Raw genomic sequence first — 14,943 nt, forward strand, 5'->3', positions numbered from 1 at the left:
ATGAGAGCAGATACTATCAGAATACAGTTCTGTTAGCTATAATTAATTGGGCTAGCTGTTTGTTTGTCTTATTTAATCTTTTAACAACCTGTGAGACAGTTACTATTATTGCCTCAATTTTCTAGATGAGAAATTTAAGGCTCAGAAAGGATAAGCAGTTTACCCAATGTCACACAGCTAGAGGCTGAGCCAAAATTTGAACCTAGGTCTCCTTGACTCCAAACTCTGTGTTTTTAATTTCTATACCAATATGAAGGAATCAGAGATGTAGGTGAGCAAATAAGTATAAGCAAAGGAAGCAGGATTCTTAGCTGAAGGGTAAATATGGACTATTGGGGTGGGGTGGCATTAATTTAAAGAGAAATCAATAAAAGTGTCTTTGGAGAAGGTACCATGTTTCAAACAAATATAGTTCTCTTTGCTCTAAGTCTGTGTTCCCAGAGTCTTGTGATCTGTGACTTATGCTCCCTTGTGGGTGTTTATCACTAATGGAGTCTCTATTCACAATCCAAGTTCTTAAAACTTTCCAGTATAAACTGATGAATCTTTTTCATGTCAAACAGGCTCTTGGGGACAGGTGGGGAGGCTCACACTTATAATCTCAGAACTCTGGGAGGCCAAGGTGAGAGGATCACTTGAGCTCAGACATTTAAGACTGCAGTGAGCTATGATAGAGGCACTGCACTCCAGCTTGGGCAGTAGAGCAAGACCCTGTCTCAAAACAAAACAAACAAAAAACCCCAAAACCAAAAAACAAGCTCTTGGGGTTTGAGCAGTATGAGACGATTTTTCTGAAACCTGGTCATACCACCTCCTTTTCTGTTTATTTTTTTTCCCCCTTTCATTATTATTATTACTCTATAGAGACAGGGTCTCACTATGTTGCCCAGGCTGGTCTTGAACTCCTGGGCTCAACTGATCCTCCAGCCTCAGCCTCCCAAAGTGCTGGGATTACAGGCATAAGCCACCATACCCAGCCCCACCTCCTTTCTCAGTTCCTTGTTTTATTCACCTCGAAATCCTGCCAGCACAGCACTGCCAGGCTCCAATATTTACTAGCGGGCACCCAGCAGATGTCAGCTGAATGATGAAAACAACACATGAGGTTCTGAAAGACGCACCGAGTCTAAACACCCAGCAGACTGTTGAAAGTGGCCTGCAGGAGAATATTTAGACAAAGCCAATCAGCTACTTCCTCCACCCTTATCCCATCAGCACCGTAGAATTCGACAATGCACAAAACCATCTTGCAATTCCTGCATGGCAAACCTTTGCTTCGACAAGCACATGCCTGAATTGTGCAGGCCTTTAATGGTGTTGACTCATGCACATCTTTAGGAACCCTGTGCCTCTTTTTGTTTTTGCAACCATCTTATGCCATCATTTTCTTATCTTTAGAAAGCATATTTTTTCTGTTATTCTTAACTGTACTAAATTTTGTTCATTTGATTTCCGACAATTGTGATAATATGCTGCGGTCAATGTGCGCTTTTTCTATTAATTCCTTTCAAAATGAAAAAGAGAAGAGCTGAATTTGTCTTGGGAATAAATTCCAGTAATTCCTTTTTCTTTACAAATTGTCTCCATAAAAATGTAAAACCAATCTTGGCTGACAGAGAATGCAGAGTTATTTATGTGTTAAATGATATAAAAATCTCCCGATGAGCTCAACTTGAGTGTCTGAAAGAGCCAGGAACCCATGATCCAATTCCCAACTGGGAGCCAATCTTATATTAAAACATGGCAGGTATTATCTAAGAAATTTCACTGCAGTGCAGTTGGGAACTCTCTCTCTGAAATTTACTGCAGTGTGCTGGGCCACAATTTGAATTGGAAAATTTGACATATTCTTTATCCGGACTGATATTCCGATGAAAATTTAAATAAAATTGCTTACATCTTAGATTTGTATTAAAACTGCATTTAAAAATGCTTGGCTGGGCACAGTGGCTCACGCCTGTAATCCCAGCACTTCGGGAGGCTAAGGTGGGCACATCACTTGAGGTCAGGAGTTCAAGACAAGCCTGGCCAACATGGTGACACTGTTACCAGTAGAAGATGGCCAGGTTCTTGGCATCTTGAACAAAGAATTGGACAAAACGCACAAACAAAGCAAGGAAGGAACGAAGGGTGTTATTGAAAATGAAAGTACATTCTGCAGTGTGGAAGCAGGCCTGAGCGTGGGGCTCAAAGGCCCTGTTACAGAGTTCTTGTGAGTTTAAATACCCTCTACCTGGGGTATGCCCTATGTAAATGAAAGAGGATGAAGTAAAGTTATAAAGACATTTATTCGGTGTATGCCCTGTGGAGAGGATATTTCCTCTCATGGCTGAAGTGTGAATCGGCCTTATGTTCCCTGCCTCCAGACCCTATTTTCTTGCCTCAAAATCCTGTGTCTACTAAAAAAAATACAAAAATTAGCCGGGTGCGGTGGCACGCACCTATAATCCCAGCTATTTGAGAGGCTGCAGCAGGAGAATCGCTTGAACCCTGGAGACAGAGACTGCAGTGAGCTGAGATTGCGCCACTGCACTCCAGCCTGGGTGACAGAGCAAGACTCCGTCTCAAAAAAAAAAAAATACTCTATCATTTATGTCCTACTCGTTTATATCAAATAATCAAAGGGTTAGTGGACTTTGTAGGTTTCATAGTGACTACCAAATATCATGTGTGACTTGAGGCCAGGAGTTTGAGACCAGCCTGGCCAACATGGTGAAACCCCATCTCTACTAAAAATACACACACACAAAATTAGCTGGGTGTGGTGGCGTGTGCCTGTGGTCCCAGCTACTCAGGAGGCTGAGGCAGGAGAATCACTTGAATCTGGGAGGTGGAGGTTGCAATCAGCCGAGATCACACCACTGCATTCCAGCCTGGGCAACAGAGCAAGACTCTGTCTCAACAAACAAACAAACAAAAAACCAAATATAATGTGTGAGATAGGTGATCAACACCTACTGTAATTTGTTTTTAATTCAATTCAAATCATTTTACACAAATATACTTATGTACTGATAAGCATACATATATATATATATATATATATATATATATATATATATATATCTCCTCCTCTTTCTTGAAATTGTTTTAAGAGATAATACTCCACATGATAAGACATTAAAATACAGCATAGTGGGGAAGCCAGACTGCCTGGGTTCAATCCAGGCTCCAATATTTACTACTGTTTGATAAGTACTCTAAGCCTTAGCTTTTTTCATCTGTAGAACCCAATATTGTTGTGAAGATTAAATGAGATAACTCGTGTAAAGCACTTGGCACAGAGCCTGGCAAACTGTTTTTATTAGTCATTATAAGAAGAAAAGTCAGGATCTGGGAAAAGAAAAATACAAATATTATAACCATATGGATAAACATGTGGCTTAAATTGTTCAAATTAAACAGTTCAACTGACTTTGAGTTTTCTAGCACCGTAACAGTAAGGAGAAGCACAATCCATTATACAAATGTTGGATTCAGAAGGGAGAAAAAGCAAACCAGTTCAGAAGTGAAATTTTTGCTAGTACTGAATTCTGAAAAGAGCTCATATAGGACATATTGAATAATGTATTAAACAAGATTTTCAGTAACATTTTACAGAAGATATTTTAATGAATATGGCTATGACAGCAACCTTTGGTAAAAACTTAAAGTATACTATTAAAATGTAGCTCAATAAAATGTTCTATAATTGGCTAAGTAAATATGGTCCCAATTTACAGTATTATAGAATTCAAAAAATAGTTGCTGAACATTTGTTTTGTGCAAGATACTATTATAGGTGCTGTAAGGAAAACATAGATGAATTAGACTTAATGATTGCCCTCAAGAACTTATGAATTAGTAAGGTATGCAAACAGTGATAAGAAAATAACAAGGATTATGGCTGGGCACGGTAGCTCATGCCTGTAATACCAGCACTTTGGGAGGCCGAGGTGGGTGGATCACGAGGTCAAGAGTTCAAAACCAGCCTGACCAACATGGTGAAACCCTGTCTCTACTAAAAATACAAAAATTAGACGGGCGTGGTGGCGAGCGCCTGTAGTCCCAGCTACTCAGGAGGTTGAGGCAGGAGAATCGCTTGAATCCAGGAGGCGGAGGTTGCAGTGAGCCGAGATGGCGCCACTGTACTCCAGCCTGGGGGACAGAGTGAGACTCTGTCTCAAAAAAAAAAAAAAAAAAAAAAAAAAAGAAAGTAACAAGGATTATGATCAAGGCAAACGAATATTAACCTCAAAGGAAGATATGAAATACTCTGGAGGTTCAAAGGAATGAAAAGTCGGATTTCTCAAACATGTAAAACTCAACCCCACCTCGTGGCTTTTGCACATGTTCCCTGTGCTTGGAATGTGCCTCTCTCCATAAGTGCACATGTAACTCCTCGTCTCCCTTTAGCTCTCAGCTTACTTTGCTTCCCTGTAGAGGTCTTTCCTGACCATCTGCCACGATGAGACGTCCCTATATAGTTCTCTGTCTCAGCACCTTGTTTGTTTCATCAGGGCATTCATTACAATTTACAATTATTTCATTTATTTGTTGATCCACTTGCTTTTTATGTCTCCCCATGTAGAAACTCCATGAAGACAGGATACTATGCCTGTCTTATCTACCATTTTATCCTTGATGCCTGGAACAGTGCCTGAGACATAGTAGGCATTCAATACATGTTTGTTGAATGAACCAACCAACAAACAAAAGATCACATTTGATTGGTAGGATCAGGACAGGTTTGACGAGAGGAAGAAATCTTTAGAAACTGGGTAGGTTGTAGGTAGAGGTAGGGAGAGGAGAGATGTTCCAAATGGAAGGAAAAGCACATGCAAATGTCTGGAGCCCAGGAAATGCAAAGCATTTTCTGAGAGCAACAAACACTGTATATATTTGAACTTAAGATGCACGCTTTACCCTTCTGCTCCCCCCTTCCATTTTAACATTTTCAAATTTGTGTAATTGGTACATGTCTTATAACCACCATCTGAACGTACTATGGTTGTGTTATTTTTTCCTTGAAATGTTCATTAATTCATGGTGTGCCTTATAATCATCAGTTGCATTTTAGAAATAGGAACATAATTTAGTTTTACTGGAACATAGAATATGTCTACGGGAGCTGATAAAACTAGTACTGAAGAGCTCTGTTGAAAAGTTATGCTGTAGACATATAACATGGCCAGAGTAGTAAGTTTATACTTTTTTTTTGTTTTTGAGATGGAGTTTTGCTCTCGTCACCCAGGCTGGAGTGTAATGGCATGATCTCAGCTCACTGTAACCTCCGCCTCCTGGGTTCAAGCAATTCTCCTACCTCAGCCTCCCTAGTAGCTGGGATTACAGGCGCCTGCCATCACGCCCGGCTAATTCTTGTATTTTTAGTAGAGACAGGATTTGCCATGTTGGCCAGGCTGGTCTTGAACTCCTGACCTTAGGTGATCTGTCTGTCTCAGCCTCCCAAAGTTTTGGGATTACAGGCATGAGCCACCATGCCTGGCCAGTTTATACTAAATTTATCAGCAAGGAAAAGGAGTTCCTACTGAAACTGTAATGCTATATTGTCTCCCGAAATAGTTGTAAATCTTTCTCTAGAGAGAGATTTTTTCTTTGCCATTTGTATTTTTAAATTTAACCTCAAGACAAAAATGTCTGTGTACAAGGTACAGAAGATACATTTTTCCCTACTGGACTATAAGCTGTTTGAGGGCAAGAAGTGTATCTCTAGTAACTGTCACAATACCTGGTATGTAGTAGTGGCTTTATTCATGTTTATGGAATGTTAAATTCCTTAAGTAATTATTGAATGAGTGATAAATACTATTTTAAGATCTTTATGGCTGGGCGTGGTGGCTCATGCCTGTAATCCCAGTACTTTGGGAGGCTGAGGCGAGTGGATCACCTGAGGTCAGGAGTTCCAGACCAGCCTGGCCAACATGGTGAAAACTTGTCTCTACTAAAAATACAAAAAATAATTAGTTGGGCATGGTGGCGGGTGCCTGTAATCCCAGCTACTCGGGAGGCTAAGACAGGAGAATCTCTGGAACACGGGAGGTGGAGGTTGCGATGAGCCGGGATCGTGTCACTGCATTCCAGCCTGGGTGACAGAGTGAGACTCCATCTCAAAAGAAAAAAAAGATCTTTATGAGAAAAAAATTATTAGGATAAAAGAGATGAAGATAATGGTAAGAATTTTTGAAGCCAAATGGAATTAATCTAGGAAAAGGCCTTGGAGGGGGGAAGTATTTAGTGCCTGTTTGGAAGCAACGGAGAGAGGTGGGTTGGCAGAAAAGAGGAATCAGCACCCTACTAGGGAAAACAGGACATTTAAGGCCTGTTAAGATTTATGGAGAAAATGTTGAAATGTGCATAGGAGCCAGGAGTACGCCAGGGAGAATGAAATGCATCAAGTGAAGGCAGGGACAGGAGGAAGAGGTTAGCCATGGACCACAGACAGCCTGAATCTGTCATGACTCACTTTTACTGAAAGTCAGTTATGAGCCAGAAAATATGCATAAATATTTGCATGTGAATATTGATTGAAGTCACCCAGAATGTAGGCAGGATCCTGCTCACACTTGTCACCAGCAATCTCTATGACGCTAAACACAAGGGATATTTTCAGTCCTCCCTATCCCCGACCTTTCAGCTGCATCTGAATCTGCTGACCTCTCTTTACTTTTTCTAAAAATTGTGGTAAAACTACCTTTAAGAGTACAGTTTAATGACATTAAGTGCATTCACATTGCTGTGTGATCATCACCACCATTCATAAAACTCCTTTTGTTTCTCTTTTCCTTTTTTTCTTTTTTGAGAAAGGCTGTTGCTTTGCCCCCCAGGTTGGAGTGCAGTGGCATGATCATAATTCACTGCAGCCTTGATCTCCTGGGATCAAACGATCCTCCTGCTGCAGCCTCTCAAGTAGCTGGGACTACAGGTTCATGCCCCCACGCCTGGCCAGTTTTGGGGATTTTTTTATGGGGAGGGTGGGATTTAGTAGAGGTGAGGTCTTGCTCTATTGCCCAGGTTGATCTCGAACTCCTGAGCTCAAGCAATTCTCTCACCTTACCCTCCCAAAGTGCTGGGATTAGGGAACCACAGTGCCAGGCTCACAGAGCTCTTTTTAGCTTGCAAGACTGAAACTCTATACCCATTGCACAATAACTCCTGTTTACCATCTTCCCCCAGCCTCTGGCAACCACCCTTTACTTTCTGTCTCCATGGGTTTGACTACTCTAGGTACTTTATTTTTTTTATTTTTTATTTATTTATTTTTTTGAGACAGAGTTTCGCTCTTATTGCCCAGGATGGAGTACAATGGAGCCATCTCGGTTCACTGCAACTTCCGCCTCCTGGGTTCAACCGATTATCCTGCCTCAGTGTCCCAAGTAGCTGGGATTATAGGCATCTGCCACCACGCCAGGCTAATTTTTGTGTTTTCAGTAGGGACGGGGTTTCACCATGTTGGCCAGGCTGGTCTCGAACTCCTGACCTCAGGTGATGCATCCACCTCAGCCTCCCAAAGTGAGAGGATTACAGACATGAGACACCACACCTTGCCTACTCTAGGTACTTTATATAAGTGGAACCATACAGTATTTGTCACTTTTGTGACTGACTTATTTCACTTAGCATAATGTCTTCAAGCTCATCTCATATTGTAGCATGTGTTAGAATTTCCTTCCTTTTTAAGGCTAAATAATATTGTATTGTGGCCAGGCGTGGTGGCTCATGCCTGTAATCCCAGCACTTTGGGAGGCCGAGGCAGGTGTATCACCTGAGGTCAGTAGTTCCAGACCAGCCTGGCTAACATGGCGAAACCCCATCTCTACTATAAATACAAAAATTAGCCGGGCATGGGGCCTGTAATCCCAGCTACTCGGGAGGCTGAGGCAGGAGAATCACTTGAACCTGGGAGGTGGAGGTTACAGTGAACTGAGATTGCGCCACTGCACTCCAGCCTGGGTGACAAGAGCAAAACTCTGTCTCAAAAGCAAAAGAAAACGAGAAAAAATAATATTGTATTGTGTGTATAGGCCGCATTTTGCTTATGCCTCTTTACTGTTCGAGACATCTTTTCCCTTGGCTTCCACAACACCACATTTTTCTGATTTTCCTCCTACCATCCTCCTAGCATCTATTTTTCTGCCTCCTTTTAGGCTCAGCCCTCACCACTTGGCCCCTCAACGTTAGAGTTTCCTAGTTCTTAGTCCCAATTCCCGGCTACCCTCTTACCCTAGACAATTTTGCTCCAGATCATGGCTTCCCTTCCTGTTTGTTTGCCAGTGTCTCCATGTGTGCAGCTCCAGGGGGTTGGGGGGCAGGGTGCGCAGAGAGAGCAGTGAGGAAGGAAGGGGACATCTGCCTCCTCAGTCAGCTCAGCCGAGTCAGTGCTGACGAACAAAGGGGCAGCAAATGTCTCAGCCAGAATGCTCTCACATCTGGATCAGGAGCTTAAGTGTGATTTGAAAGGCGTGAGGCCAAAATGATGCTGGAGGAAGCTGACTCGTGCTGTGATTTCACAGAAAAGAATGCAGTTAGAATAAGATCATGGGAGACAGCTGTGATGGCAGTACAGCCACAAGATGACTGGTCTCCAGGCTGACTCTGACAATAGGAATGGATGTGAAGAAAAAACATGTTTATAAGAAAAAATGGACATAAATCGGTGGTTGAAAATGTGGGAATGAAAGAAATGATAAACAGTGAAGTTAATGCTTTCTCTAAGGCTTTTGCCTATAAATGCATCATGGAATCTTTTTGACCATGCTTGAGGTCAAAAGGGTTTCTCTTCTGAAAATTAAAGAAAAGACCCAGTTAGACCATTAAGATGCTTTCCTATCCATTTCTCCTTTCCCTTTTTTACTTCACTCTCTAGGGCTAGAATCTGCAAAATTGACAGAAGGATAGATAAGACAGGCTGATAATTGTGTCCTCAATTGTATATGCTTTCCTCCAATGTTTTTCTTTAATACTGGCATTTTTTTTTGTTAACAGCCTCACTCTTAACTCTGCCTCTCCCATCCTTCAAGGGCTATAACAGCCTTGTTATATCCCTCCATAATTATCATTGACAGGCTTCTCGGTCTTAAAAAAACTGAGACAAGAACATGTGTTTTCCTTTGGACTGAGTTTTGAAAATACAAATGATCCAAACAGGCATGGTGGCTCATGCCTGTAATCCCAACACTTTGGGAGGTTGAGGCAGGAGGATCACTTGAGGTCAGGTGTGGTGGTGTGTACCTGTGGTCCCAGATACTTGGGAGGCTGAGGTGGGCAAACTGCTTGAGCCTAGGCCTGGTTGACAGAAAGAGACCCTACCTCAAAAAAACAAAAAACAAAAAAGTGAAATCGAAGAGTAATTTTTAGCCAGCGGCCTTTGGAACCAAAGTGTTTGGCTTTATTCTTTTGTGGGCCTCTTCTCTTTCCTTTCTAGATTAGGAGATCTTGATCAATGCAGTGGGATGACATTAGGAGAAGGAAAAATGACTTCAGGAGTCATAAGTATAAAAACTGGCTTCAGATTGAGAATCAACTGACTATTCAAATTGTAAAAGAGCAGAAGTGTTTTGGATAGTCTCCACAAAAATACAAAAATTAGCTGGGCCTGGTGGCACACGCCTGTAATCCCAGCCTGAGGCAGGAGAATCGCTTAAACCCAGGAAGTGGAGGTCACAGTGAGCCAAGATTGCACCACTGCACTCCAGCCTGGACGACAGAGCAAGACTCGGTCTCAAATAAATAAATAAATAAATAAATAAATAAATAAATAAATAAATAAAGGATGTTATGCAATGTGATATGTAGAATACATAATCTTGTCCTAAAAATATAGTATAACAAATGTAGAATAACCAATGGTGTTAGGTTGTTTGTTTTTCACTTTACTCCTTTTTCTTGTGACAGCATTTCCAGTTTGCCTTGGAGCACTATTGGAGACGATCCCGGTGCTCCAAGAACCAAGGTACTTCGTTAGCCAAATAAGAGGTGAACACACAGCCAAAGCCAGACCAATCAGATGCTTGTCCCCAGGAGTTTGAATCTCAAGCAGAGAAACAAAAAGACTGAAAAAGATTACTTCTTGCTATTTGGATTCCCAAGGCCACCCTGGTCCTTGTCTTTTCTGAGCCTGGTTATTGTGCTGGGCTTTCCATTCTGTAAGCTACTAGCACACAGAGTGGAAAGTTTCTTTTCTGCTACTTTATCTGGTTTCCTTTACTTCCAATCAGCATTTTTATCTTGAATGCTTACGAGTGCCAGGCACTGTTATGAGGTCTTCGTGTAGATGACATCATTTGAGCTTCACACCAATTCTTCAATTATTATTTGGCTCACACCTGTAATCTCGGCACTTTCAGAGGCTGAGGCAGCAGGATTGCTTGAGTCCAGGAGTTCAAGACCAGCCTTGTCAACATAGTGAGACCCTGTCTATATAAAAATTAAAAATTATTTGACATTTGGCAGATGAAGATGAGCCTCAGAAAAAATAAGCGCCTTATCAAAGCTTACACAGCTAGCAAGACGTGGAATTGATGTTCACACTTAGGTAGTATGACTCCAGGTCTTTAGCGTCTAATCTCTGGGAAAGAATTCTTTAAGCAAACTCATTAAGTGGGTCTTTTGGTAATGAGGTGGTGAGGAGGGGACCCTGGAGGCTGGATTGGAGAAATGGAAACAAAAGGGAATTGTTCCCCATAGTAAATTAATAGAATTTTGGAGTTATTCTCTGATGTTCAGAAAAAGTAGGTTTAGAGATCCTGGGACTCAAAGAAGGCTACAGATGTTAAAAGGAGAGGAAGTCCTTGCAATGGCGACAGGCGGGAGTCACCGGAGAGAGAGAAGCCAAAGTGTCCATTAGGATATTTTCTGCTGTAAATAACAGAAAACTGAACTCAGAATGGGCATAAATAATACTATATTCAAAAAGTCCAAAGGTAGGAATGTCCAAGATTAAATATGTTGATGGGCCAACAATAAAGGTGAGGTTTTTTTTCCCCCAACTTTGCCTTTTTCACTCTGTGTTTTGTTTTCTCTGTCCTTAAGGAATGCCCCCTTAGTTATGAGAAGACTACAGCAGTTCCATGTATAACCTTTGGACAGGACAATTTTAGAGGAAGAGGTGCTCTCTGTTTATCTCTCTTGAAAGGAGGAAACCTTTTTCAGAAGCAGCCTGAAAGATTTCTTTTTACATTTAATTGGCCAGAATGCACCACATGCCAATAGCTAAACCAGTCACTGCCAAACATACTAATAAGAACAATTGGAATGGAGCTCTCAGCAGTAGATGTGGAAGAGGTTGGGATACTGAATAAAATCAGCGTTCAGCAAAGAGATGCTGGGTGCAGTGGCTCATGCTTAATCTCAGCACTTTGGGAGGCTAACATGGAAAGATTGCTTGAGCCCAGGAGTTCGAGACCAGCCTGGGCAACATAGTGAGATCTAAATAAATAAATAAATAAATAAATAAAAATTAGCTGAGCATGGTGGCAGGCACCTGTAGTCCTAGCTACTTGGGAGGCTGAGGGAGGAGGGTCACTTGAACCCAGGAGTTTGAGGCTGCAATGAGCTATGACTGCATCAGTGCACTCTAGCCTGGGCAATAGAGTGAGACCCTGTCTCACAAAAAAAAGAAGGAAAGAGAAATAGAGTGAACATTGAATAGGCAACTAATTTGTTGCCTGCAGAGTAAGAGACTTAGGATGCAGATGCAGAGGCACATGGGGTGAGATATAGAGGAAGGTGCATGGAACTTCCATACCCTTCATGAGTATACCACCAACCAGGACCCCTCCACGTGTTCAGCTATCTGGAAGCTCACTGAACTCTGTCCTTTTGTTTTTGTTTTTGGACACAGTTTCACTCTTGTCGCCCAGACTGGAGTGCAGTGGTACAATCTCAACTCATCGCAACCTTCGCCTCCAGGGTTCAAGCAATTCTCCTGCCTCAGCCTCCAGAGTAGCTGGAGTTACAGGCACCTGCCACCATGCCTGGCTAATTTTTTGTATTTTTAGTGGAGATGGGGTTTCACCATGTTGGCCAGGCTGCTCTCAAACTCCTGACCTCAAGTGATCCGTCCGCCTTGGCCTACCAGAGTGCTGGGATTACAGGCATGAGCAACCACGCCTGGCCCTCCTTTTGGGTTTTTATGGAACCTTTATGACGTCAGCATTCCTTTCCCCAGGGTATGGGCAGGATCCTCTCTGGGAAGAGTCCTAAGACCCACAGTCAGAAAGGTGGGGGTGGGGCAGGAAGAATTAGAGTCCTGCCTTGAAGCAGGGGAGAAGAAGGCAGGAGGTCAGAGGCCTGCCCCCGAGGCCTAACACACCCCACATTACACCAAAAGATTGTAATGGCTAGGCTCGGTGGCTCCTGTCTGTAATCCCAGCACTTTGGGAGGCCCAGGACTGGGGATCACCTGAGGTCAGAGTTTGAGATCCGCCTGGCCAACATGGTGAACCCCTGTCTCTACTAAAAATACAAAATTAGCCAGGTATGGTGGCACATGCCTGTAGTCCCAGCTACTCGGGAGGCTGAGGCAGGAGAATCGCTTGAACCCAGGAGGCAGAGGTTGTGTGGTAGGCCTGGTCTCACAGATGCAGACCTCTGTAACAACTGTTTCAGCACTGACTAAGTAGTTAAGTTAAATATTAAAAGCTGAAAGAGCCAGGATCCTTATACAAAGGCTGGAATGTAACAAAAGCCCACCAAGAGTTTTGGCTAGCTTTTCCTGGGCCTTGAAGCATGACAAAATAATGAAGCAATTCTTAACAGGACCCTTTTAGGATTAAACAAGTTTTATTGGGGGTCTGAAGAAACTCCCCAGGCCTCCACAAACAAGTTTATTGGGGCCTAAAGGAACTCCCCAAACCTTTATGATTTAGCAGGATACAAATAAGGGCAATTGGCTGGGCACAGTGGCTCACGCCTGTAATCCCAACACTTTGGGAGGCCAAGGCAGGCAGATCACAAGGTCAGGAGATCCAGACCATCCTGGCCAACATGGTGGAACCCCATCTCTACTAAGAATACAAAAATTAGCCGGACGTGGTGGTGCGTGCCTGTAATTCCAGCTACTCAGGAGGTTGAGGCAGGAGAATTGCTTGAACCCAGGACAGGGAGTGTTGCAGTCAGCCGAGATTGTGCCACTGCATTCCAGCCTGGGCTACAGGGCAAGACTCCATCTCGGAAAAAAAAAAATACAAAAATTAGCCGGGCATGGTGGCGCATGCCTGTAATCCCAGCTACTTGGGAGGCTGAGGCAGGAGAATCACTTGAATCCAGGAGGTGGAGGTTGCAGTGAGCCGAGATTGCGCCACTGCACTCCAGCCCGGGTGACAAGAGTGAAACTCTGTCTCAAAGAAAAAAGAGAGATAAAGGTCATCACCCCAGCACCTAGACCCATTTAGACTAAGTAAACTTACTAAGGCTTCAGAAAAAGATCTACAGGACTCAGACCCTAGTTACAGATTAAAAGAAGTTCATCACTTATGTCTTTAGATGAATATAGCTTAGAAAGTATATAAGCTTTGGAAAACTTTGTAATTTGGAGTTGGTCTGGCGATAATTTCCAGACCTTCTCCCTGTAACCAGTTACAGAAGTAAAAGTTCTCTTCCTCCCCAGTTCATCTGCATCTCGTTATTGGGCCATGAAAAATAGAAGCCTGGCCCTCAGTTTGGTCTGGTAACAGTTGCAGTGAGCTGAGATCTTGCCACTGCACTCCAGCCTGGGCAACAAGAGTGAAACTCCATCTCAAAAAAAAAAAAAAAAAAAAACAAAGACTATAACAAGGGCTGTGGGAATTCTGAGCCAGGAACCGTGGACAAAAACCTATATATATATCATAACACCACAGGCCACTCCCTGGTTTTCACCCATGGATCACTTACATCAAATAATATACACAATCATTAATAGTTAATGAATAGTTATTAATACAATTATTACTAGTAATAATGCATTAATAATTAACACAATGTGTTTCAGTCCATCACAGTGTGTATCTCCCAGGATGAGGCCACTTAGGTTTTCAGGTTTCATTTAGATCTTGTCAGGTTCCAAAAGCAGGAGTGGCCTCCATAGATATGCTGCCTCACCCTTTCAGGCATCTGGGGAATTGAGGTAAGTGGCTGGGCATGGTGGCTCACACCTGTAATCCCAGAACTTTGGGAGGCCTAGGTGGGCGGATCACTTGAGGTCAGGAGTTTGAGACCAGCCTAGCCAACATGGTGAAACCCCATCTCTACTAAAAAAAAATACATAAATTAGCTGGTTGTGGTGGCAGGCGCCTGTAATCCCAGCTACTTGGGAGGCTGAAGCAGAATTGCTTGAACCCATGAGGCGAAAGTTGCAGTGAGCCAAGATTGTGCCACTGCACTCCAGACTGGGCGACAGAGCAAGACTTTGTCTTTAAAAAAAAAAAAAAAAAAAAAAAAAAAAAGGCCGGGCACTGTGGCTCACGCCTGTAATCCCAGCACTTTGGGAGGGTAAGGCTGGCAATCACCTGAGGTCAGGAGTTAGAGACCAGCCTGAGTGAAACCCCATCTCCACTAAAAATACGAAATTAGCCGGGCATGGTGGCACATGCCTGTAATCCCAACTGCTCGGGAGGCTGAGGCAGGAGAATTGCTTAAACCCAGGAGGCGGAGGTTGCGGTGAGTTGAGACTATGCCATTGCACTCCAGCCTGGGCAACAAGAGCGAGACTCCATCTCAAAAAAAAAAAAAAAAAAGAGGAAAGCGAGTGTAGGAGGCAAGATGGTGAAAGAGGATCAATAATTACACTGGGAGTAGAGGTTTGGAGGAAGTGTCAGTACATTCAAGTGTTCCCTTAGGAGAACCAAGTTATGTGCAGTAGCTTCATTTATTTTATTTTATTTATTTATTTATTTTTTAAGATGGAGTCTCGCTCTTGTTGCCTGGGCTGGAGGGCAGTGGTGCGATCTGGGCTCACTGCAACCT

General features: G+C 42.9%; 1 pseudogene, besides 2 other annotated features; it reads right to left on the bottom strand.

Annotated features, from left to right (window-relative positions):
* Positions 2,142-2,271: an enhancer, noted in NCBI's record as "active region_6829". NCBI's record gives its function as "activates an Ori minimal core promoter by ATAC-STARR-seq in GM12878 lymphoblastoid cells {active_cell/tissue: GM12878}" and the evidence as "EXISTENCE:reporter gene assay evidence [ECO:0000049][PMID:35858748]".
* Positions 6,491-6,590: an enhancer, noted in NCBI's record as "active region_6830". NCBI's record gives its function as "activates an Ori minimal core promoter by ATAC-STARR-seq in GM12878 lymphoblastoid cells {active_cell/tissue: GM12878}" and the evidence as "EXISTENCE:reporter gene assay evidence [ECO:0000049][PMID:35858748]".
* Positions 8,142-8,428, bottom strand: RN7SKP11 (RN7SK pseudogene 11; annotated as a pseudogene).

Source organism: Homo sapiens, chromosome 12, assembly GCF_000001405.40.
Source record: "Homo sapiens chromosome 12, GRCh38.p14 Primary Assembly".
NCBI lineage: Eukaryota > Metazoa > Chordata > Mammalia > Primates > Hominidae > Homo > Homo sapiens.